A 25635-nucleotide genomic window follows, 5' to 3' on the forward strand; every position below is an offset into this window, starting at 1 on the left:
AGAAATGTTCCATGTGTAAATAACTGACAAAGGAGAATTTAATAATCAAAAAAAGTAAACATAACAATGTTTAATTTAATTCAATTCTTTTTGAGACTGAGTCTTGTTCTATTGCCCAGGATGGAGTATAGTGGTACAATCTCAACTCACTGCAACCTTCACCTCCTGGGCTCAAGCAATCCTCCCATCTCAGCCTCCAGAGTAGCTGGGACTACAGGCACATGCTACCACACTCAGCTAATTTTTAAATTTTTTTTGTAGAGAAAAGGTCTCACTATATTGACCATGCTGGTCTTGAACTCCTGGGCTCAAGCAATCCTCCTGTTTCAGCCTCTCAAAATGTTGGGATTACGGGCATGAGCCACCATGCCAGGCCAAACGTGGCATGTTTTTTAAAAGAGCAAAGGCTATGAAACGGCAATTAATCCAATATAAGGCCCAAATTGCTAATGAATATATGACAAGATGCTCATCCTTCCTAATCAGAGAAATGTAAATGAAAGCTACATGAGATGCCATCTGACGCCTACATGCTGGCAAAGCTCAAGATGTCTACTGACCTTAATCACTGGCATCGGTGTGCAACAAGGGGACCTTGCAGACACTGGGGGGCCCGCCAACTGCATAAGCATTTCAGGTATCCCATAAAGCTGAAGATGAGTCTCTTTCCTGTCACTTTCCTCTTCTAGAAAAGTCTCTACATGTAAATAGAGACATATGTTTCTTGCTCATTGTTTCTAGCCCTGAAAAACTAGAACAATCTAAGTGTTCATTATCAGGAAAACAGGTAAATAAATGAATGAACAACACAGATATCATCATGGATAAATCTTACAAACATGATATTGAGTAGAAAAATATACTTAAGGGTATGGTACCAAAGCAAACAAGCCACTCTTACACAGTCTTTGTAAGTTACTGCAGATGTATAGACAGCACAGAGACATGCCTGAGAGCAGCTGCTGTGAATCAGGGTCGGGGCCCCTGGTGCAGAGCAGGTTGTGATAGCACGTGTTGGATCCCATGACAAAAGACCCTCTTTAGAGACACAGATGTGGCTGTGACTTCCGTACCCACCCATCCTTCCCGTGACTCACCTCAGATGTGAGTTCTCAGAGCCATTCTTCTCCCACAAGGGGCTCTTCTGGGGACCCAGGTCTGGGGTTCCAGCGAGGTCCTGGTCACTGCAGTCTTCCTGGTCTGTGGCCCACTTGTCTTTGTATTTCATGCTGTCCTGCTGCGAGTCCAGAGAGACGATGTCTGAGGGGGAACTCATCACTCCTGAGTCCTCGGTCGTGTCCTCCGACGCAAAACAGCTGCCAACTGACACGGTCTCCTCCGCCTCTGACAGCACCTGCGGGGCTCCATCCGGGCTGCAGTGGCTGCCAGACCCCAGGGGCAGGCTTACTGGACAAGACACGGCAAGGACAGGTCAGCCCAAACCACTCTGGCGTCCATACTGCCTAACAAGTGTGACATCAGTCTGTCGGCCCCGCTCTAAAATTTGGGATTCAGGGTGCTCAAAGTAAAGGAAGAACCTCATTCAAATACTGCTGAATACTCCTGAAACATTTTAACTCACAGGGAGTCATTTGTGTAAGATTGAGGGCAAAATTTTCCCTCAAAAATCAGTATTTGATTAATTAGCCTTTTACATTGGTCTCCTCTCTATGGCTATGGGCAAGCACATTTAAAAATTCAAACTAATGACATGTTGAATGCAATTGTTTCTAGGCTGGCCTTTGGCTTAATGGAACTTGTTTAATGTGAGATCTTTAGAAAAACATTAAGACAATTAGAGTTTTTGGAAATATAAATAAGCAGACATAAGTATCAGTTTGGACACATCTGACGTGTATTTCATATTTGAAATCTGGCCTGGAAGATTCACGGCCCTACTCCCCAGCTTTTGGCTCTCCCTTAATTTTTACATGTGAGGCCAGTTTCTGTGGTTGAGGTTACCTGGCTCCTATGCACTAAATGTGATTCGCTGCAGGAGTTTGGTGAGATGCATAGAGTGGCAACTTGCTCTCCAAGCCAAGTTCTGTCAAGCCTTAATACTAATGATGGGTAGCACTATGGCTATTCTGCGCAACTACCTAGCTATTTGTAGATAGCAATACATTAAGTGTAAGTAATGGGAGGTCATTATTTTTCTCTTACTGAGCTTCTAGATTCTCTAAAATCACAGAAGCCTCTATGCAAAGAGATGAAATTTGAAGGACAAAAACACACAAGTCTAGCCCAGATGTATATTAGAGTTGTTATTGTTTTTTAATAAAAATAGATTTTAAACTTCAAGACACTTCAGGACATATGATCTAAGCACTATTTATAACAGTCCAGAAAACAAGCACTGTGTTTTGTTGCAGTCCCAGTGTATTTTGTTTTAAAGTCATTCTTCCCCTAAATAGTCACTGGATGCCCAAAGTGAATTAAGACTCCTCTGGGAGTGCTCACTCCACAAAATCATGCACTGAGAGTGAAGTGACATCACAATTGCACTCAACATCACCAACATTTTAACTGGACAGGAGACTAACAACTTATCACCACGAAACCAAAAGAAAATCCCATCAGGTGATGGTATATTTGAGATTCCAAACAATAAAACAAATGAAAGAACAACAGTTTAAAGAATATACATTTCACTAAAGAGCTCCAAGGTAAAGAATAGAACGAAAAAAAGGAATAGTTTAGAGCAGTGTAAACGTACGAGGAGATATGCTGAATGCAGTGATGCTGGTCTGCTGCGACCTCGCTCTTCTAGTTCTCTCCCCAGCTTTTGGGGCTAGACTCTTGTTCAAGACAAATATTGAGAAGAAACGTCGCTGTAGCTCCCTGTTTCCCATCACTCCTCTCTTGCCTTCCCTTTTGCTGCCATCACTGAACAATAAAACCAGCACGTTTTTTCTGTCTATGTTGTATATAAAAAGTATGACAAGAGTAAAACTCTCAGGTCACAGAGACCTGGATTCACACCCTGGTGGAGTAAGGTAATGCTGCTGCCCACAGGGTCCCTGTTGCTAAGTGGGTGCCTGAATGTGAACGGCCCTGTGACAGGGCCTGGGGACACATATTTCCAATCCAAGCATGTGGGCTCTCTGGCACTCACAGCTTCTGAAGGGACAGACACGTACGCAAAGAATGACAGTGCTGTATGGTCACACCAACTCTCGGTGTGCTCCCATAGGCAGAGTGTGGCAGGCTGGACTGAGCGAGGTGGTGGCACACAGTAGGGGCCACACAAATGCTGGTTTAGCCTGGCTTACCCTCTTCCCTCTCCAGGGATTATCGCTGAGGCGCAAAGTGACCTTAACAAATGTGTCCCCACTAGCTGTCTGCTGCCAGGCCCCTTGGAGGAGGCCCTCAGAGCACCTGGTACATGCCCTCTGGAGGCACAGAACACATCGCAGGGCAGAGGGACTCTAACCCACCTCCACCCCTTCTCTAGCCAGTTATAAGATCAGGAATGCTTGTCGGGTGATACATATATATTCCTCAGAAGTTTTGAGGCAATAAAAAAAAGTTGAGAGCCTGTGGTCTAAATTAAGCCACCTGCAAAGCCTTAAATCAACATGGAGTGAGAGGTCACATATTTGGTGCACACACGTGTTAAACCATTTACAAAATGACTAATGCGAGTGCTATTACCAGAGCTCCCCTTTTGCCCAGGCCAGCCCTCCTGCTCTCCATGTGGATAATCTTCCCATGGCCCGTGTGGCCTGGCCACAGCCCTGCGACACCATTCATGCCATTGGTGCAGAAGCAGGTGGGGGTGGGGGGGCCTGCTCTCAGGAGGTTTATCTGCGTCTAGGGAGAAGAGTGGCACAGGAATTGAAAAGACAACTGTCTAAATGCTGGGAGGAGAGGGAACATGGGTGAAAGGCCTTCTGCCAAAGGGGTGGGACCCGTCCAGGAAAGACCAGGCAGACCTCCCCACAGTGATGCCGGCACCTGCTCGGAGTATAGGGTGGGGCAGGGTGTGGCCAAGGGGGAGCACCTGCAAAGGCTTTGAGGAGGGTGATGGAGGCTGAGTGGGGAACTTTCCAGAGAAGCTTCCTGGTGAGCTGTCAGAGAGAGCACAGATCTGAAGAGAAGGGCAGATATTCCTGTGAAGCCCCAACCTGTGTTGGTGTGAGTTTTCAGGCAATTTCTGATCCCTCCTTTCCGAGGTCTGCTCTGTCCTGGGCATCTTTTGTTTGGAATCAGACATGCCCATCTCACTCATCCTGCCCCCACCCCACATCTCTTTTCTTCCTTCAGCTGGTTCCGATGATTAACCCCATGAACTGTAACATGTTTTGACAATTTCTGAATGAGATAATGGTGCAGGAGACTTTTTTTTTCTTCATCAATGCTAAACGGAAACTCAGAACATAAAAGGAAAACGTGGAGCTGCTTGGGCTGCATCGAGGTTGGGGGCCCAGGTCCTGTCCTCCAGATCCTGTGTGTGTCCCATTTCCCACCCTCTGTCCAGCCTCTGAGGGGCTTCCCTAGAGCCAGCGATCCAGGGACCCCAGCCTGAAACCCAGGGGCAGCAGGAGGAGGGCTGAATTGAAAGCCCAAATTGCACTCTGAACAATCCCCTTTCCCCTTTCTGTAAAATAAGCAGTTGGCTCTGACGGGCTCTAAAATCCCTTCTAGAGTGGAACTGTTAACAGTCTTTGAAATGCCAAATCAAAATATAGGATGTAAACACTCATTTTTACAACTGACCAGTGACTAATTAGGAATCTTTAAAAGGAATACAACATTGGCTTTGTCCTTTCTGCTATATTCTGTCTTCCCTGAGAGGGTAAGTCATTATTTTTGAGTTAATTAATGCACTGGCAACTTTGCTATTCTCTTAAGGCATGAACAATCTCTTTGAACTAAAAAGTTATTACTGCAGGATTTTTGCAAATGTGAAAAAGCACACTTACTTTGTCTTTCGCAGAAGCCTAATATAAATTCATGATTTAATTCTCTTCTAAATGAATAGCCACAGAGCCTGAGTAAGGAATATTAACCCTTCTATTGTCCTCCACCTAAATTATATAATCCCATGGTTCAGAGGCCATTACATATCTCTGAATGAGCTTTGGTAAATTCTTCAGCTCAAGTATAAAGAAGAAAATGCTAACTTAGGGCTACTAGTTCCTCAAGTTGAACACAATTATTCTCAGTTCGGTACTAGTTTTTCTTTTACAGAGTCAGCAAAGATAATTCCATCACTAAATGTAAGTATCTTCCAAGTAATTTTGGAATGGATTCATTTTATTGTTTTATTAAACGCAAATTAAAGATCTTGTGTCCTATGATATTGCTTTTTTTGTGGTTCATTAAGAAAGAGGATTTCTCAAAAGCCAGTTCCACCAAATTTATATGGCCCAGAGAAAATGTTTCAATGAAAGAAAAGCTACCTCGCCACCTCACACTGCTGCCTGTGGGTCCCACGGCCACTCACAACCAACAAGCAAAGCTGCACTTCATCTTAACCTGTGTTGACTTTGTTCTCTATGTTCTAGGCACTTGGAAGAAAGGGAAAAATTACAAGGTAAAGTGCTTCTGAACTAGTGATACAAACTGACATAAAGCATTTCAATAATTTTGTGGGGGCCAGGTGCAGTGGCTCACACCTGTAATCCCAGCACGTTGGGAGGCTGACGTGGGCGGATCACTTGAGGCCAGGAGTTCGAGACCAGCGTGGCCAACATGGCAAAACCTTGTCTCTACTAAAAATACAAAAAATAGCGAGGTGTGGTGGTGCACACCTGTAATCCCAGCTACTCGGGAAGTTGAGGCAGAGAATTGCTTGAACCTGAGAGGCGGAGGCTGCAGTGAGCCGAGATCACACCACTGCACTCCAGCCTGGGCGACAGAGCAAGACTCCATCTCAAAAATAAATAAATAAATAAATAGAAATAATTTTTTGGCATATCCCTCCAAATAATTTTGAACAATCATGCATCTCCTTCCATTTTTCATTGACGTCTGAAAATTTCCATCATGAGTTCAGTTGGTTGCAACAGATGTACATTTTAATTGTGTTATAAATACTAATATTTTACAATTTAAAAATATTGTAATTTTTTAAATTGTATTACTGTTTAATATGCCATTTACAACTAAATTAATTGTAAATTGCCATTTACAATGGCAAAAATATTTTGCCATTTAAAAATATAAACAAAGGAATCTGGATATCATAGTATTTTCATGCCCAGGCCCCTCCACGTAAAAATTAGTAAATGAGTTCTTCCTTTAACAGGCAGAATTTTAGAGCATGTCTCTTCTTCCTTGAACTTATTTCCATTTCACTACCTAACAGAATCTTATCCTAACTGAATGTACTTTATGCTTGAGTTTTTTTTTTTATTCATCAAGCCTCTTTGTATAGAATATGTATCTAAGTTAAAATGTAATTTTCATTTTCCCTCACCATAAGCAAGTTGTATTAAATTCCTTTTTATATTGTTTATCCTTGTGCTAATAGAAAACAGCCAACCAAAATTACATAAATGTTCTTAGAAACTTTGACATTTCTTAAGCAAAATGGTAAAATATCATTTGGAACTGCATTTCATAAGTGAGTGAGGCTTTTTCAATTAATTCCTTAAAAATGACTGGATTACTTATTGCTAGCATGAGGCAGGGTTTGGCATAAATTCAGGTCTACTTTTCCTCTTATAGATATAAGCACTAGGCAAAGCTTGTCACATACGAAGGTAAATTAAGGGACTTTTGTTATGGTTACATCATTCCATTAGGTTTCTAAAACTTTTCCTCTAATATATGTCAAAAATCACTTCATTAATCTGTCACAAAAATTATGCTTAATGATCTATAATCTGACAACTCAGTTAGATCCTTTGTCAATTTGGTTGGAAAGAAAAATTGGGAAACCACCTGATGTTCAAAAAGATTCGCCACCAACTCATTAATTTATCTGCTTGATCTTATACCAATATTTCCATTTGTTCTTTTGTTTGAGATCAGGAATAAGGTTTGCCCATCTCAGGAAAGTGCACCCCAGTGAGTTTCCTGATGGGTGAGGGGTATGTCTGTCTTTTATGAAGGAGAAGGAGGGCATCTGTAAAACTGGCATTGGGGAAAAAGACTTGGAATGATGCTGGTCACAGGTGAGTTCTCAGGCACATGAATTCCAGGAAAGAATACATGTGGAGGTATAACATTTGGAAGTGGATTCCCTTGGAAAGTCCTGATTCTCCCAGAAGAACGTGTACCCAGTTTAAACCCACCAATGTACACAATACATTTCAGTCAATTTAAGAGTTGCGAAGGTGGGATTCATGGACAATACCACAGGAATACAGAAGTGGGGTCACTCATTCTAATTAGAGGACACAGGAAAGTGACCATTGGACTGCGTCTGAACACAAGCATGATTTTGGCAGGTAGAGGACAGTTGGGTCAAAAGATGGGAAAAAGCAGAGAAATGCCAGGCTGCATGAGAAACATCAAATACTGTTGAGTGGTTGGAATCCCTAGTGTCTGTGTGCACACACGGGTGTGCAAATGTTCAGGAGGCACGGTTTGGAGAGGCTGGGTTTAGGATTCGCCTTTGAGAGACCCTCTGCCACCAGCATTATATAGATTCTGCTCTGAGTAGGCACCTCAAACTTTGTTCCCCTCTTTTTCTCTAATTGATTTCCTAGGCACAGTTTCCTCCAAGTGAAGTTTGCCTGTTCATTCCTTGTCAAAATCACAGCCTCTTTAGTTTGATGGGCACTATTTAATAACGTTTTATATTAATGCTCTTGTCAAAAATCCCATAGACCTGGGCTCCTCAAAGACACTGCATGATGAAGGTAATCAGTTGACTCCAGAGCACTACTATATACACACACACACATTTTTATCTTTTCAAGAAGGCAAGATAATGAAGGACTGAAAAACATTTATGGATCTAAAATTAGACCTGGATTCTCTTAAGAGTCAAGTGATGTATTCTTGGTATCAGTCAGCTCCTATTTCTTCACTACCTGAACCAAACTCTAGTCCTAGAATCTTAACGTGCCTATTAGAGTCCCTGGGCAGAGAAAATTCCAAGTTATTCCACTGTAACACAGAGCTGTGTTCCAACTGCTGTTCTTTTAAAAACATATAATAAACAGCTGCTGTTTTTCTCTGCCCACCACTCTCACTCTGTTTGTGTTAAAAGAATTCTGTCCTCTTGCAGGTAACCAATTTATCATATCTGGGTGAGACTATCTGCCCCTAACTATTTCCCTAGGACAATGTTATATCCAAAGATGAGTATGTGTTCCATGCTGGACCAATCAAAGTCCTTCTCAGAACCTTTCCACCAGAGGTGTTCAGGAAGATGGTCCAATCGGGCTGGAATAAATGGATTGGGTACAAGTTTTGGATAAATGGCTGCCATTTTAACCAGCACAGGGAAGAACTTATCCACGGACTGCAGAGGAACATAGTTCTAAGACAATGTTTCAGCTCCTGGCCCCAACCATGCCCATAATAAAGATTAGTCTCTTGGAAGTGCCAGTTATGTGAGCTAAAAAATCGCCACAAAACCCAATTATGCATAACTGGTCAAGACATACTTCTGTTTCTGAGAACTGAGGAGTCTTGTCTAATAAATGTCTAAATTTCCTTTATTTTGCACATATATCTATGTAACATTATGGTATTTCTATTATAGGAACCATTATTTTATATTAAATTACATATTAAATTGGACAGCTACATATATGTCTTTCCCTTTCCTAGATTTATTTTCCGTTATTTGGATTATACACTTGAGTATAATCTAACTTAGGAGGGTATACTCTCGAAGCTCTCTTGCGTCTGAAGGCTGGCTCCATTTACTTGTTATCCTTGACTACCAGTATATGGCTAAACCAAAGGAAGATTCAGATGAAAATCCTTCTTCTTTAAGACTGTCTTCTCCGCTTCTCTGTTTTCTAGCATCTTGTGTCATAGATGAGAAGGCATATGTTCACATGATTTGTTTATAGCTATATATAATCCCTCTCTAGAAGCTAGTAAAATTTTATCTGTGGATTTTTAAAATTTTTACCTGAATGTGTCTAAATGTGCACATTTCTAAAGATGTGTATTTAATTTCCAAGAATGTTTTGATGCTTATTTGTTTTTCAATAATAGCCTGCTCTTGTTTTATGTGATGATCTACTGAAATTTTCTGAGGCAATGACTAAAAGTATTTATTTTAAAGTTCTGTTCTATTTCCTAACTTAACTCTACTTCCTTTGGAGTAAATTTCTCTGACCACTTTGTTGTCCTTCTTTCATGCATTAAAAACAAAATTGTCTACCAACTCTTGGCTGTCTTTCCTGTGTTTAAATGGGGGTATCAGCGATGGTACGGAGTGAATTTCTTTGCCGCACGTGAATATTCCTGTTTCCTTACTATGGATCAGAAAGCCTATCAACAACAGTCATGGGTGCGGTGCATGAACCAGGACTGGACTAAGTGAAGTTCCACAGGGACAGAGACGGACGCTTGCATTCCGGGGCAAGGATTCCATCTGGATAGGGTGGCCAGTTTTTCTCTGTAGCCACAATGCTGGCTTTGGCTGATGATGCTTAGAATCAGTTCAGCTACCCTGAAACTGAAGTTTCATTTTATTGTAATGTGCTTTTTGTTGTTGTTGTTTTTAAGCCAATAGTTAAACAGGATTCCTTCTCTATGCCACTGTCATGGGCTTTAAGAGTAGTCTAAAGTATTACACTATTGGCTAATTTACTATCAGACAGTACAGCTCAACACTGATATTTGCAAACCACATAACGGTAATTGGGTTTTGACATTCTGCAGTGTTCAAATGGATAATATTTACCTACCTCCTTATTTAGTCCACATGCCCCCTGTAGTGTGGATATTATTATTATTCCTATTTTGCAAATTATACAAGAAGCCCCAACCAACAAATTATGTCACCTATCCCTGAGGGTGTGTGTTGCAGAAACACTCTGCTCAGCTTATAAAAAGGGCAAGTTCATTCAAACCTCATAAAAAACCCACATGGTGGGCAGGAGTCAAATTAAGGTTCTTTAACCAACGTGTTACATGAATCCTACTGAGTATATCTGCATTTAGACTTTTCTAAGCCAAAAGATTTTCTTCCATGTTCTATGGAACAAATCTTGGATCCATTTATCTGGGAATCTCAACATATTTGAAACCATTTCTTGAGGCAAAAACCTTCAGTCCTTTTTTACACATTTCTGGGGCCTCACCTTTGAGGGAAGTGTGGGGCAGTGGATGGCCATCCCTGCTGGCAAGAACAAAGCTGGTGTCTTAGTTTTCATTGTCAAAATAGAAACTCTGTCTCCAGGTTGTCTATCTATTAAAACACATAAATTTTATTTAATCAATGCCTCAGAAAGAGAGGTTCAGGGACCTGCCAAGGTGCCAAGGGACTCAATCTCAAATTGACTATGCTTTGGGTCTATTATGAAGCAAAGGTGAGGCAGCCACCATCTGAGATGGGCAACCTAAGAAAAATGCCATCCCTCCTTCTGCTGCTTTCTTCCAACTTCTATCCTTTTATCATCAGAACTCTAGAGAATAAAGTATGTGGCCTACTTTTACTTAGCTTTCCATAACACACTGTTCATCTATCACTCTGGATGTAAATTTGATATAAAAATGACCAAATTATTAAATAAATGAGTGCTGTTTGACACAGCATCCTCTCTGATCCCTTTGGCCTTGTTTCCCAAGAAGGCAGGACCGAGCTGTGCCTTTGTGGCTGCCTTTAACTGCATTTCCTTCTCCCTCTCCCTTCCCAGCACATATATTTCTGAGCTCTCCTAGTGTTTACTTCTAACCACTTAAGGAAAATGTAGATTTCAAAAATAGCATTAATTAACATATTTTTATTTCCAATCATTTAAAATAAAAATTATTCCTTTTTCTAGACTTTTCTAATTTGAATAATACTGACACAAAAAGCTGCCTACAATCCCCTTTGAAATTCACTGTGATTTAAATAAGAAATAAAATAGATCTCTACGGATGATAAGAGAGGAAAGGAGTCAGACCATCCTCTTGCCTGACAGGCAGATGGCATCTTCTGGGCAAGCTGTGTGCCCTGCCCTGTGCTGCCCTCAGGGACCCAGGCTGACCCCGTTCAAATGGGCACTTGGAGTTCAGGGCATCTCACCCAGTCAGGAAGGCCTCCTCAAGCTGGCACACTGTGCAATGTAAATTCTCAATAATATAATCAACGTTTAGTGTGCAATAACAGAAAAGAGCATTCTTTGACAAAAGCTAAGAATCCAGATATCTGAGCCTCGTCTCTTGCATGCTGAAGAACAGACAATATTACAGGTCACTTTCTATAACTCAGAGAAGATGTCCGGGTGTGCTGTAATGCCACCCTGTAATGTCAGTCATCCCAAGCGCCCGTCCCTGTGCCTCGCCTGCCCCTGAGAGGTGCCTCCCCACCTGGCACAGGGCCCCTCGGCCGGGCCCGGCCAATCTTAGCTTCTCGTCTTTGTGTCTCTGCTCCTCCTTCCCTTGTACCTAAAAGTGGAGGTTGGTGGTAACAGACAAAATTGTCACTGTTCCTCTGCAATGCAACATTTTATTAGCTGTTTTAAAGAAAAATTACAACATAAAAAGGGCTGGGCGCAGTGGCTTACGCCTGTAATCCCAGCACTTTGGGAGGCCGAGGTGGGTGGATGACTTGAGGTCAGGATTTCGAGACCAGCCTGGCCAACATGGTGAAACCCTGTCTTTACAAAAAATATAAAAATTAGCTGGAAGTGGTGGTGTGTGCCTGTAATCCCAGCTACTCGGGAGGCTGAGGCAGAAGAATTGCTTGAACCCAGGAGACAGAGGTTGCAGTGAGCTGGGATCGTGCTGCAACTGCACTCCAGCCTAGGGGACAGAGTGAGACTCTGTCTCAATCAATCAAACAAACAAACAAACAAAGAACACATAAAAAGGAAACTTTTCGCTTTTTTTTTCTTTTCACATAAATTACAAACTTCTTTCTTGGCCAGTTCTTTTATTTCCTTATGGACGGCTTTTTAAATTTTGCCATCTATAAAATCTACTGAGTTTGTGAGATTTCCACTGGGTTGGCCCCACAGTTCCCGTTTTGCTGTGCAGGCCTCTTCACGCTCCTTGAAGGTGAAGGACTCTTCATGGGCCTTCCTCGTATGTGTGCTGGGCTTGTTGGGAGATGGCCATGTTTCAGGTGAACTGAAGCTACTGTAACTTTTTTTCCTTTCTGACTGCCTGGCCTGGAGAGGAGTGACTTTCTGATGTTTTTTCTCCATGGCATCTCCCTGCACTGGGGACTGCTGTGGGCCCCGTTCCTCTCTGCCGCTTGGCCAGGGGCCCTCGGAACCCCTAAGGGAGGCCCCAGATGACTAAGACCAGCCCCAGCCTCCTCAGAAGCCCCCAGCATCTCAGCTCTCCCTCACGCTTCTGTTTTATGATTTCCTTCTCATTTTCTGTGCAACACAAAGCTTGGCTACGCATTTACAATGATGTCCACGACAGAAAACCCAGCCTTTCAAGATGCTTGGTAGCAGGAGGGGTTTTCGGGGCACATCACCCATGATATGGCTGGAAATATAAGAAAACGGAACTTGCTTTCAATGTAAAACATCGTTTCCTTTCCACAGCCTTCCTCGTTTCAGCAGAGAAGGTGGTCCGCTATCCAGGATCCAAACCTTTCTTCCCTGGAGCAGCCTGGAGAGTTGAGGGGACAGATGGGGAGCCAGGAGACAGGGGGTGCCTTTTAGGAGCCAAGGGAGCAGGTTCAGAGAGAAGAGGACTTGCAGATATGACCCCAGGGTTGGCTACTGCACGCATCCCCAGCCGGAGTTCTCAGAACAAGTCCTTCTCTTTCCTCTTGAAAGTCCTTATCTTCCCGCAAGGGCGGCTCAGGCCCTCCCTCCTCCATGAGGTTGGTGTCTCCAGGGGCCCCAGCGCGCATCCTTCCTGGACTCGCAAAGCCCACGCTACTGCCACTCTTTCCTGTTGCACTAATAGCATGTCCTTCCAGCTTGGCGCTCAGCCCCTCAAGGGCTGCGGGAAACTCAAACTCATCTCTTAACGTCCTCATCCACAAGGCCGAATTCCTCTCTCTAAGGACTTAGTGAAGATTAAACGAGACAGCACTTATGAAGGAGCTAGCAGGGCACAGGGTCAATGCTCAGTAATGGTAGCTAAAATTATCACAGGCGCTGGGCCTAGCTGCCTGGCTGTCCATAAACATCCTAAGTTCTCTGAGAAGATGATGGTCTTGCACTTGGCCCGTGTCAGAACGCCCTGGAGGGCTTGTTAAAATAGAGATTGTCCAGACCCCATACCCCCATGAGTTTCTGATTCAGTGGGGCTGGGGTGGGCCCAGGGGTGCATGTTCCCAGGTGTTGCTGCTGCCGGCCGGCCGGCCTGGGCGACACATGGGAGGGCTTCCTTCGTACCTCCCCCAGAGTTCCTGGCCAGCCGGCTTTCTCCCCTCACTGGGCTGCAGGTGAGAACCACCTACATTTAAGCTTTGTATCCCCATGTAGCTTTCTGTTGTCATCTTACTGAAACCTATTCCCTGCAATAGTTCAAAGACAGCTGTCTCCAACAACAGGCGCTGGAGTTAACGGACGACCAGTTTTAAAAAGTCACATTCAGTCCCTGCTCTCAAAAGGCAGGAGTATTTGCCTTTTTCTAAAATTAGCAGATTCCATTTCCCATCTCAGTGCTCTTCACATGTCTCCTGTTTCATGGGAACTTGTCCCAAAATGCCCTCAACAAAGTTACAAATGTCATTTTTCTTCAGACAGAAGTAGAGCTGAAATAATTACTTGCGGAAACTATAATAGAATAGTTTCAGAAAGACAGAATGAGGAAATTACTTACAAAAATAAAACACATTCCAAATGTTTGTAAACTACGTCAAAAACAAAGAGCAAAGAAACAATATGGGGGGGTGCATGATGAAGTGGGGGCATGAGGAAGAGCAGGGGGAGGAGAGCTGAGCAGGGTAGGGGTGGCACAGCCTGAGTGTGAGCAAATGGGACCCCGAGATGCTGGAGAAAACAGAGGAGAGGCAGCAAAGAGCCTCTACATCCCAGGTGTCAAAAGGCTGTCAAAAGGCTAGTGAGAGGTGCCTGTATCGTCACCGGGGGAAATGAGCCCTCATCAATGGCAGCATTGAAACCTGAGTCTCCAAGGATGACCTGTCTGGTGTCTCTGCATCAGTGCCTCCATCTGCAACCTCAGGGCATCAGTTTCCTGGCCAGCTGGGTTATTTTTGCCTTATTAGTTATTTGTATCAATTGCCTGAAGTTTGGGTCAGATTAAATAGCAAAGACTGTGAAGATGACTAATTTAAACTGTTACCTGGTTCTGGACTAAGGAATAAAACATATCTTTTAATATTGAAAAGATACTCTAATCGGGGCTTGTTCCAAGATGAGTTCTCTTCTGAGTATTTTTAGAAATCACACAATGCTAACATACCATTAAAAGTGAGTGGAGAAAAGCGAAATGACTAATAACTATGCTTGTATACAGTGCTCTCCCAACACACACACACACACACACACACACACACACACACACGGCAAAAACCATCATAGTAGTCCCTCCTTGTTGGAGGTTTTGCTTTCTGCAGTTTGTTACTTGTGATCAACCAAGATATTAAATGAACAATTGCAGAAATAAACACTTGGTCAGTTTTGAATCACGTGTCCTTCTGAGTAGCCTGGTGAAATCTGCCATCCTGTCCTGTCCCACCATGAATGGGAATCTTCCCTTTTTCCAGTGGATCCACACTGTCTCCTCCCCTGCCTGTGAGTCACTTAGCAGTGGTCTTGGTTCTCAGACGGACTGTCTCAAGGTTGCAGAGATTGTGTTCAGGGGCCCTTACTGTACTTAATAATGGCCCAAAGCACAAGAGTACTGATGTTGGCATATTGTTATAATTGTCCTATTTCATTGCTAGTCATTGTTGCTCACTGTGCCTAATGCAGAAATTAAACTTTATCACAGGTATGTATGCATAGGAAAAAAACAGTATATATATATGCGTGCACGCACACACATACACACACACACACACACATATATTCAGTGCTGAGGTTTCAGGCATCCATGGAAGGTCCTGAAACATATCCCCCTGTGAATAAGCAGGGGACTACTATACTTAAAAGGTACTCAAATACAGTAGAGTAGTCAGCATAAAAGCAATGAATAGTAACAAGATTTTTCTCTAGAGCTCCCCTCCCGTAGTCCAGCCTGCCTTGGCACTGTGCGTCTGCTTGTAACAGTGATAAGATCAGCATCAGGGCCCATCATTTTGGGAAACTAGTATAGAATTGTTTCTAGCCTTATCCAAAGTCAACAGACTACACAGCCAGCAAATTAAATGTTTCACACACAAACCACCTGTCTAACTCACAATTATGGTGGCCCAAAATAACTTGGCTTTATTGGCCAGAAAACACTCACCTCAGCAAAACCCACCAACACTCAAAATAACCTACATGAGATGCTGGGGCTCCAGCCTTAGGGTTTCAGGGTCTGTCCCAGGGACTGGAAGTTGGATGCTGTCCCCTTGCGAGGCAGGGACCCCATTTTCCCCTCCATGCCCTGAAAGGATAGATGGCCACACCTCACCTCTTCCATTCCTCTTATTACGGATACCCTCCTATGACCACATTCTACCAGAGTTTTTAAATTAGGATTATTTTAGTTTTTAAAATGAAGTTTGTTTTCTTTTTCTTTCATATAGAAAGTAAGGAAAACACAAACATTTGGAAAGAAAATAATCACTTATCCCCAAGATAACCATGGTTTACATTAGGTTGCTTTTTTTGGTAATCTTTTTTTTTTAGAAGCTTTTTGGATAAACGTAACAAAATTTCTTAAATGTTTGAAGAAAATCAGATACATTGCCCTTCTATGTTTATGTATGCACTTTGTACTCAACAGATTAAAGACACATTTTTCTCCATCTTTTGTGTCAATTTAAACAATTATGGGTACCGTGACTCGCATCTGTAATCCCAGCACTTTGGGAGGCCGAGGTGGGAGGATCACTTGAGCCCAGGAATGTGAGACCAGCCTCAGCAACAAAGCGAGACCCTGTCTGTCTCTACAAAAAGTTTTAAAAATTATCCAGGCATGGTAGAGCGTTCTTGTAGTCCTAGCTACTTGGGAGGCTGAGGCAGGAGGACTGCTTGAGCCTGGGAAATCGAGGCTGCAGTGAACTATGATTGCACTAATGCACTCCAACCTGGGTGACAGAGCAAGACCATGTCTCAAAACAACAACAACAACAACAACAACAACAACAACACAACCCCCCAAAACAATTACATGACACTGTGCGGATTCAACTGTGGCCTCCAGCAAATCAGTGCTTACAGGCTATGGCTTCTCATCTGTAAAACGGGGATAAGAATAACAGTATTCATTCACTCAGGAGCTTCATGGAGAGGCGTGATGAGGCAGGGAAAGCCTGACAGAGCATGGACAGCCGGAGCCTCTGAGCGTGGGCTGTTAGAGCGAGTCTGATTGCTGAGATTCCCATCTGTTTTCAGCCTACAGGCTGATAATGGCAGGTCCTCCAACGACTTTCGTTCAGCGTCATCTTATTATCCCAGGCCGGGGCTACTGTCTGTGCAGATTACACCTTCTCGGCAGGTCTGCATGGGTTTTCTCTGGCTGCGCTCATGTCCTCCCATGTCCCCAGACTGCACATGTTAGGGTCACTGGGGTGTCCGAATTGTCCCCATGTGGGTGAGTATAAGTGCACCTGCAATGGGATGGGGGCCAGTCCAGGGCTGGCTTCTACCTTGCCCCCTGTGCTGCCACGGTAGGCTGCGGCCACCTGTGACCCTGAACTGGAAAAACTGGGTAAATCATCACATTACTTGCTTTTATTAATCTTTCTTAAATGTATGTATAGCTCGTATTTATTTCAATGTTTAATATTAGTAGTGTTTGGTCTTTATTTAGAAGTGTTTTGGTCTTTATTTCGATGTTTTGGTGACCAGAAATATATGCTAGGAACTTAACTCATTTTTATCAGTTGGCCTATGGTAAAACTGCTTTCATTATCTATTGTTCTGCATAAAGCTGCGGTTTCCAAAAACCTAACCTATTGATGATGGTAAGTGAGGACTTACTGTATAATCATTCATTAGTGGTCATGATCTTTAGAAAGACTGGAAATTAAAGAACAAATGTGATTATGTGGGGGCTGCAGAAACTGCAATCTTAAGGCTTTGGGGAACTTTCCCAGGAATGGGAGAGAACAGGGAGAAGGGGGGGCCTGAAACACATGGGTTTCTAGGAGGGAGTCCCAGGAAGCCTTGGGATTGTTTGTAGATCAAACAAGCCTGGTCAGGTAGGGGTGGGTGGGAGGGTGAGGGCTGGCCCTGTTCGCATAAATGAGTCCGAGCCAGGCAGGGAGGAGTTGGTGAGGGCACTGTCTCCCAGCTACCCCGCCACTGTTCCCTCATCCTGCTGTTTGCACTAACTCCACCCAGAAATACAGCCAAGATGATTGCCTTCTATGTGCTATTCTCTAGTCCCAGTGGGATCTGAAGTTTTTCTACTTCTTAGCATTACCCAACGTGGCCTGTTTTTTGCTAACTGTTCAATCCTCATCTCACCCCTCACAGGGAGCATGTGGTCCTCCATGCCTGTGTAGGATTGAAATGGAGACATCTGCTCCTGATTTGTCTTGAATAAACCCTCCACAGGCCCTCCCTTCATCATGGGTCCTGCCGTAAGCTCTGCCGGATGCCTCCATGAGTCGATCTGATCTCGTCTTCAGTGCACACGCTTCACCCTGGCTGTCTGACAGCAGTGCCTCCTCCAGGTGTTTTCCAACACTCCACAGGTCTCTGAGCACATGAACACCAGCCCAGATCTCACAATGAAAGGTCTTAACAGGTTGCATTTTCTTCACAGTTATCAAAGCAATCTCTGCAGGAAACTACTTCTTGGGAAGAAAAGTTTCCCACTTGCTTCTCCATCAGTAGCTTACAGAATGTAAGTTCTGCCAAAACTACTATCAGTAGCTTGACTTACAGTAGGCCTTATCCATTGTCATGGTATTCCAGAGAGCATTGCTTCTGATCAAGGAACTCGCTTCCCAGCCAAAGGAGTGCAGCAATGAGCCTGTGCATGGAACTCACTGGTCTTACCAAGTTCCCCACTACCTTGAAGCAGCTGGTTTGATAGAACAGTAGAGTGGCCTTTTGAAAACTCAGTTACAGGGTCAGAGAGGTAGCAGTACCTTAGAGGGCTCGGGTGATGTTCTCCAGAAGGCTGTGTATGCTCTGAATGATGTCCAATATATGGTGCTGTTTCTCCCATAGGGTCCAGGAATCAAGAGGTTAAAAAGGGAGTGGCACCATCATTATCCCTAGTGACCCACTAGCAAAACGTTTTCCTCATGACTTTTATGTTCTATTGGCCGATGGGTCTTAGGTCCAGAGAAACAAATTATTCCACCAGGGGGCACAACAATGATTCCACCGAACTGGAAGTTAAGATGCCACATGGTCAGTCTGGGCTCCTCAGGCTTTTGAGTCAACAGGCGAAGAAGGGGTTTATGGTGTTGGCTGGGTGACTGACCCAGACTATCCAGGGGAAAATAGACTACTGCTCTAGAATGGAGGTAAGGAACAGTATGGGATGTAGGAGATCCCTTAGGACTTCCCTTAGTAAGCCCTGCGATGAAGGTCAATGAAAACTACCCTGACCCAATCCAGGTAGTACCACTAATGGCCCAGACCCTTCAGGAATGATGGTTTGCATCACACCACCAGGTAAAGAACCACAACCAGCTGAGGTGCTTGCTGAAGGCAAGGGGAATACAGAATGGGTAGAAGACATTATAAATACCAGCTGTGATGTGACTAGTTTTAGAAATGAAAACAGTAATTGTCAATGAGTATTTCCTTCTCATTTTGTTAAGAATATGTTTGTGTGTGTGTGTGTGTATATATGTATATATACATATAAATATCTTTGTTTTCTTTCCCCTTATTCCCTTAACATGGGACATACGCGACTTCCATAGCAGTGTCTAATTGTTGATAATTTTACATCATAGTATTTTAAGTTACAGGATATCAGGAGAGAGTAAACATCAACTCAAGGACTTTACCTTCTCTTCTGGAAGGGATGAGTGCATTTTCGGTTGTATACAGGACAGCAGTGTCATGCCAGTTGGAATTGTGACCTTGTTTTGTCTTTCTCTGGAGAAAAAGACATGCATATAGGGGGCGAGTTGGCAAGGGGTGAATTTGCAATGGCTAAGCAAGGGGTGTTCGGGTACGTGGTGAAACGTTATTTCTGGGTGTGTCTGTGAGGCTGTTTACCAGAGTGATCAGCATCTGAATTGACAGACAGTAAGGAAGATGTGCCCTTACCGCTGTGGGCAGGCATCCTATCTGCTGAGGGTCTGAACAGAACAAAAAGGCAGGGAAGGGTGAATGTGTTCTCTGTGTTTGAGCTGGGACACCCATCTTCTCCTGTGCTTGAGCATCAGAGCTCCAGGTTGTGGGGCCTTGAGACTTGGATAGAATCTCATCACCAGCTTTCCGGGGTCTCCAGCTTACAGATGGCAAATGGTCAAACTTCTTGGTTTCTATAATTACACAAGGCCATCCCTATAAAAAAAAATCTCTCCCCACCATAGATACACACACACACACACACACACACACACACACTCATAAATATATCCTATTGTTCTGTATCTCTGGAGAAGCCTGACTAATAGAGATTTTGGAATAAATATTCCATTAGGGCTAAACAGTAGGGAGGGTTAAAATAGGCCTAATTTTAAGAAAATCTTCATTATCTTTCTAATGCTTTGAATTTGTTCAGAAAATAAAACATACATTTAGCAATGGTCTAATTATTCATTACTTTAAGTCTACAAAATTAGCTTTCCCAGGATGCAACCCTGACAGCAGATACAGTGTGGATGTTTGCTGCAGTAACAACAGTTCATGTCTCTCTCTCTCTCTCTCTCTCTCTTTAATTTGCGTCTGTGAGAGGTGGCAGGAGATACATCCAAGGAAACTTGCTTGAAGGTGCAGCTGCTTCTCCAAAGCCTCCATAATCCCAAGCTCTGGGTCAGCCCCTGAGTCACAGCATGACTTCAGGGCAAAGGCTTAAGTCAGAGCCATGGTGTCCCGGCGCTCGGCTGGCCTGCTGAGACTTGGAGAGAGGCTTCCAATTAACACTGCTGGTTTCTCTGAAGTGGCCAACAAGTGGCCACTCCAAGTGTCTCAACTAAACTAGACCAGTTTAAGACCAGCCACACTGGCTGAAGCATTCCCAGACAACATCATGGCTTATTTACTTGTGTGTTTCATCATTGCATGGAAACGTGGGCGCTTGCTGATCTGCAGGGGCTGGAGGAGAAAATGATCTTTCCCTTGTCAGCCAGGGGCATGGCTCAATGTGCCATCTGAGGAAGCTCTCAGCCTGCCATCCCAGGAGTCGTGCCTGCCAGCACCAGGGACTGCGTCTGCAGGGGGTGGCATGAGCAAGGCTGCTGGTCCCGGCTCAGCTGTCCTGGAAGAGGCTGTGAGACACCCGTGGAGAGCGCTGGGGCACACACAGGAGCAACCACGGTGAAGTCCTGAGTCCTTGACATGCATTTGCTCAGGACTCCAACCCAGCAGCCCCCAAAACAGTGAGACGCTCTGCACTGCAGGGCAGGCACTTCATTTTTATAAGCTGTAGGGGGCACACCTTCAGCACTCTGTCAAAGGCAATACGCACAGTTATTAAACTTCCTAAGAAAAAGGAAGACAGAAATTGCTCTACATCACTTGTGTGACTGTATGAAGTAGAAAATTAAACATTTTCTCTCTCTTTTTTTTTTTTTTTAGATGAAGTCTCACTCTGTCACCTAGGCTGGAGTACAATGGCGTGATCTTGGCGCACTGCAACCTCCACCTCCCGGGTTCAAGCAATTCTCCTGCCTCAGCCTCCTGAGTAGCTGGGATTACAGGCACCCACCACCGCGCCCGGCTAATTTTTGTATTTTCAGTAGAGATGGGGTTTTGCCATATTGGCCAGGCTGGCTTCGAACTCCTGACCTCAGGTGATCCGCCTGCCTCGGCCTCCCAAAGTGCTGGGATTACAGGCGTGAGCCACTGTGCCCGGCCTAACATTTTCTTTAAGGGTTGTGCAGTATTTGACAACATAATCTTTATATTTCTGACTTTTTAAAAATGAGGGTTTGAGTGACTTCATTTCTCCAGTATGACTGAATCAGGGAACCTGCACTGATCCATCTACAGAGGTCTGCAGACAGCAGTAGGAGGCAGGCTGAGGGCCAGGTGTGGCCCCACGAAGACCCTGAGGAAACCTGGTGCCTACATGTGCCTGCAAGAAGCAGCTAGTATGCATCCCACACTTCCTTTCATGCAGTAAAACTGGTGTTGCCTTATCTCTAACTTTTTTTAAAAAGAAGAAATCAAGATTTTAATGCACGATCTTCTGCATTTTAAATTATGGCTATTTTCATAATAATTAGGATCTGTTGACTCCAACCCAGCAGCCCCCGAAACATTTCTAAATGTTCTACATGTATTTGTATGTGTAATTCTCAAAAGCACTTTTTCTTTCAATATGAAGAAACTCAGGCACAGAGAAGTTAAGCAAGTTGCCTGAAATCACCCAGTAACAGACCCAAACCCTGAGTCCATGCAGCCTGGCTCTAGCCCCATGCTATGTACTTCTCTGGACAGTGCAAGACCCTCAGCACCCTTTCTGCCCCATCCCCTTTGTGGAGCAACCTGGTTGTCTGGGAGATGAACCCTGATTATCCAATCAAACACAGTAATCCTGTTCTCCCTGACAATTGATCAGTGCATTCTGGCCTAAGCCAATGGGTGTGTGGCACTCCCTTGGCTACTGTGATTGGTTCAGGAACTCGCATGTGGCTGATGTGGGGTAAGTGAGCTGACACAACCCCTATAGGTGCAGTATAGGATCCCATATATATCCCTGTGCATTAACTCAGCTTGAGTGGCTTTTTTTTTTTTTTCAGGCAAAGATATGCTGGATTCACCAGCAATCCCACTTCTAGGTATATATCCCCAAGAAATGAAAGCAGAGTCTCAGATATTTGCATACCTGTGCAGCATCATTCACAATAACCATGAAGCGGGAACAACTTAAATGTCCACTGACAATGGATGGATAAAGAAAATGTGGTCTATACATATACTTGAAAGATATTTAGCTTTAAAAGGGAAGGGAATTCTGTTATATGCTACAATATGGATAAACTTCGAGGAAATTGTGCTAAGTGAAATAAGCCAGGCGCAAAAAGACAAGCAGGCAAAGGGGAGTTGCTGTTCAGTGAGTAGAGTATCAGATTTGCAGGACGATGAGGTCCTGGAGATCGGTTTCACAGCATTGTGAATATACTTAAATCTACTGAAGTATGCATTTGAAAATGGAAGGAATGGGACATTTTATATTTTTTTTTAAATCACAATTTAAAAAAGCATACTGATGCTGCAGCTTATTCAAACAATTTTAAAAGTCTTGCCTGGGTTGAGCAAAACAAGCCTAAGTGAAACACAGAGGCTGCCAGGCCTGAGCACAGTCTCCAGGGCCCTGCTGCCTGGAAAGGATGCAGTGCGGTCTGTGGTGACGGGTTCATATTCAGGCTCATTTTCCTCTCTATTAGCTGGGAGAAACCAGGGACAATATGGCAAGCTTTCAGACAGACAGAATTCATTACATTAGAACTGTGTGAATAACACTGATTTCAGGAGGAACATTTAGAAGTCGGTCCATAGAAAACACCTTCACAGTATTCTAACAAGCACACAGAGGATAGAAAAAAACAAGTGTTAGCTGATTAGGGATTGTCTCCCAAATGCCAATATTTCAGAGGTAGGTAAGACACAAGATGGGTTGTGTGTGTGTGCGTGTGTGTGTCTAAGTGTGCACATGCATTCACAAATGCTTGAAAGACCCAAGAGAAGGCTGAGCAGTGACTGGGGAAATGGGGAGGAGGAAGAGAAACAGGAACACTTGATTTCAGGATTGTGTAGAGAACTGCGGCCCTCACTCATCCACAGGGTTCTTGGCTTTGCTGTGCCCGGGGCTGTGGTATTCAGAAGCAAGCTCAGAAGTCTTATCACAGCTTCAGCTGCTCCATAAACTGTAGGGGCAAGGAGGAAATTCAAAGTCAGGGCAGAGGCCGAATGCACGCAGGAATGGTGGTTCACATACAGTGTTGGGCTAGGGTGGGCTACAGCCAGCTTTGGGCAAAATCAGCACAGCTTGCCAGAAAGGTGGCAGGGCCCAGGCCTCCAACAGGGCCAAGCCCTGGAGTCAGAGTCCGGGTCTCCCCTGTGCATCCACCTGGGTACAACAGAAGCTCTCCAGCCTCTGTCGTCATCAGCACACAGGCTAATGCACACCAGGTGCTATGGGCTGAACTGTGTTCCCTAAAAATTTATATGTTGAAGTCGGAACCTCCAGTACTTCAGAATGTAACATTATTAGGATAAGGTCTTTTAAACGATGTTTAAGTTAAAATGAAGCCATTCGGGTGGAGGCCTCATCCAACAGGACTGGTGTCCTTATAAGAGAATGTTAGGACACAGACACACAACAAGGGAAGACCCAGGGATAAGGCAGCCATCTGCAAGCCAAGGAAAGAGGCCTCAGGAGAAACCAACCCTGCCGACACTTTGATCTCGGACTTCCAGCCTCCAGGACAGTGAGAGAATAAATTTCCACCCATTCTGTGGTATGATATCATGGCAGCCCTAGCAGACTAACATATCAGTGCACTGTGTTGCTGCGCACTGTGATGAAAATATTAAAGTAATTGAAGTCCACGACAGTGTCTGTGGCTTGACAGGCCCACACATGGTGACTGTCTCAGTCTCTGTGGTGTCCTCTGATCTTCCTTCCTCTGGAGTCAAGCCCCTCCTTCCTGGTATTTTTGTGCAGCCCCATACTTGTTGTTGGCTGTGGGCTTAGGTGGGCTTGCACATGAGAGATCCTCCCATAAAGCTCAAACAGCACGCACCACCTCCTCCACTTTCTCCTTCCTCTGTGGACACAGGGAATGGCTTCCTGGGGAGATATGAGCAGGGTTAGAGCCTTGTAGCCCTCCCTACAGACTAACAGGACACAGAGTAGGGAGGAGGGATATGGAAGTTAAGCAGGTGCTTGGGACCAGACTGGCAAGGTTCAAGTCCTGGCTTAAATATTAACTTGCTTTTGGTTGCAGACAAGTTTCTTATCATCTACGTGCTGTTTTCTTATTTGTAAAATGAGGATGATAACAACAGCAGTGACCTCATAGGGCTGTGGTATAGATTTAAGGGTTACTCCAGGAAAAGTGCATGGGAAGGGGGTGCCACTTTAGCCATCATCACTTCCTGCCCCGACCCCGCTGGCAGCGAATCTATGAAGACTAAGACCCCCACCCCTCCATGGGCTGTACCTTCCTGTAGTCCCACTGTGCAGTCTGCACTCAAGCAGAGGCCACCTCCTTCATGGCAAGGTGCCTCCTGGCTAATAAATAGCCAGATGGAGGCAGACATAAGTGCAAGGGCAGAGACGAAAGATGAGGTTTGAGTTTACTAACATGGTTGATTTGGATTTCTGCCCTATCTAACTATGGAAGACTATTCATTTAAACAACTAACTGGCCATATTCTCTTTAATCTTTAAATCTCTTCCAAGTCATAAATTAGGCACCAAACAAGAGGCCTGACAATAACTTCTGGGAGGCCAAAGTGGACAAGTTCAGAATCCTTGCAAAGCCTGCCAGTGACCGAAGCACCAGGCTCAGAGATATATTGTGTGTGGGGTGGCGTGGGGGTGGGGAAGCATACTGGCAGCAACAAGCTAATATAGCCACATACTGTCCTTGGCCTCATATCTTCACACACGTGCAGGCACACACACACAGTGTATACACATGGATGTATGAGTGCACGCACGTGTTATGTATATTTGCACACAAGTTACAAATGTATATAGATGTGCATGTATGCATGAATATATACAAACATGAATATGTACACCATGTGTAGGCATATATGTATGCATGTGTATATATACACAAATATTTTGTACACACTTGTGTATGTATGCATAGATGTTTAAGATACACAATGTGCACATGTATTGTGTGGGTATGCATACATGCACTGTATATACATCTATGCACATGTACATGAGTCTAGATATGCATGCACCATGGGTGCACATGCATGTATGCACATGTATGTGTGCATGTATACACATACACACACATCCCTTTTTAGAACCACTAGTCACACTGTAACAGAGGATGGGGAGTCAGCCATCTGAGCACAGACCCTTCTTAGCTGCATGATCTTAGGCAAGTTACTAGACTCTTCTTGACTCACTTTCCCCTCTTTGTAAATGAGAGAACTCAATCCTATAATTACAGTCACTAAATTGTTGTGTGACTAGCTGCAACATAATATTGGCATAAATGCAGCAAAGCCCCAATGTTAACTTCTTGTATGTTTCTTTCCATTCTCTTCAACTCTGTCTATCAATGGGATAATCAGGGTTCCCCCTGGTGGCTGAAATGTGCGGGTAAAGTCATCCAAGAATCTCTTGTCTCTTAAATAAGCAGCC

General features: G+C 44.1%; 1 protein-coding gene across 22 annotated transcripts in view, besides 1 other annotated feature; it reads right to left on the bottom strand.

Annotated features, from left to right (window-relative positions):
- COBL (cordon-bleu WH2 repeat protein) overlaps positions 1-25635 on the bottom strand; it is a 300598-nt gene that overhangs the window by 26074 nt on the left and 248889 nt on the right. For 21 of the 22 annotated variants that reach the window (NM_001346443.2, NM_001346442.2, NM_015198.5 and 18 more), the window contains one exon: positions 1098-1407. In NM_001346443.2, coding sequence (NP_001333372.1) covers positions 1098-1407 — 310 coding nt within the window. Of the gene's footprint in view, positions 1-1097; positions 1408-22113; positions 23165-25635 lie in introns of those variants that run through there. The other variant, NM_001346444.2, reaches the window with a different exon arrangement.
- Positions 20459-20964: an enhancer, noted in NCBI's record as "H3K27ac-H3K4me1 hESC enhancer chr7:51130441-51130946 (GRCh37/hg19 assembly coordinates)". NCBI's record gives its function as "activates a minimal SCP1, AML or CMV promoter by ChIP-STARR-seq in naive H9 embryonic stem cells {active_cell/tissue: H9 hESC(naive)}" and the evidence as "EXISTENCE:reporter gene assay evidence [ECO:0000049][PMID:30033119]".

Source organism: Homo sapiens, chromosome 7, assembly GCF_000001405.40.
Source record: "Homo sapiens chromosome 7, GRCh38.p14 Primary Assembly".
In the NCBI taxonomy this organism is placed as follows: Eukaryota; Metazoa; Chordata; class Mammalia; order Primates; family Hominidae; genus Homo; species Homo sapiens.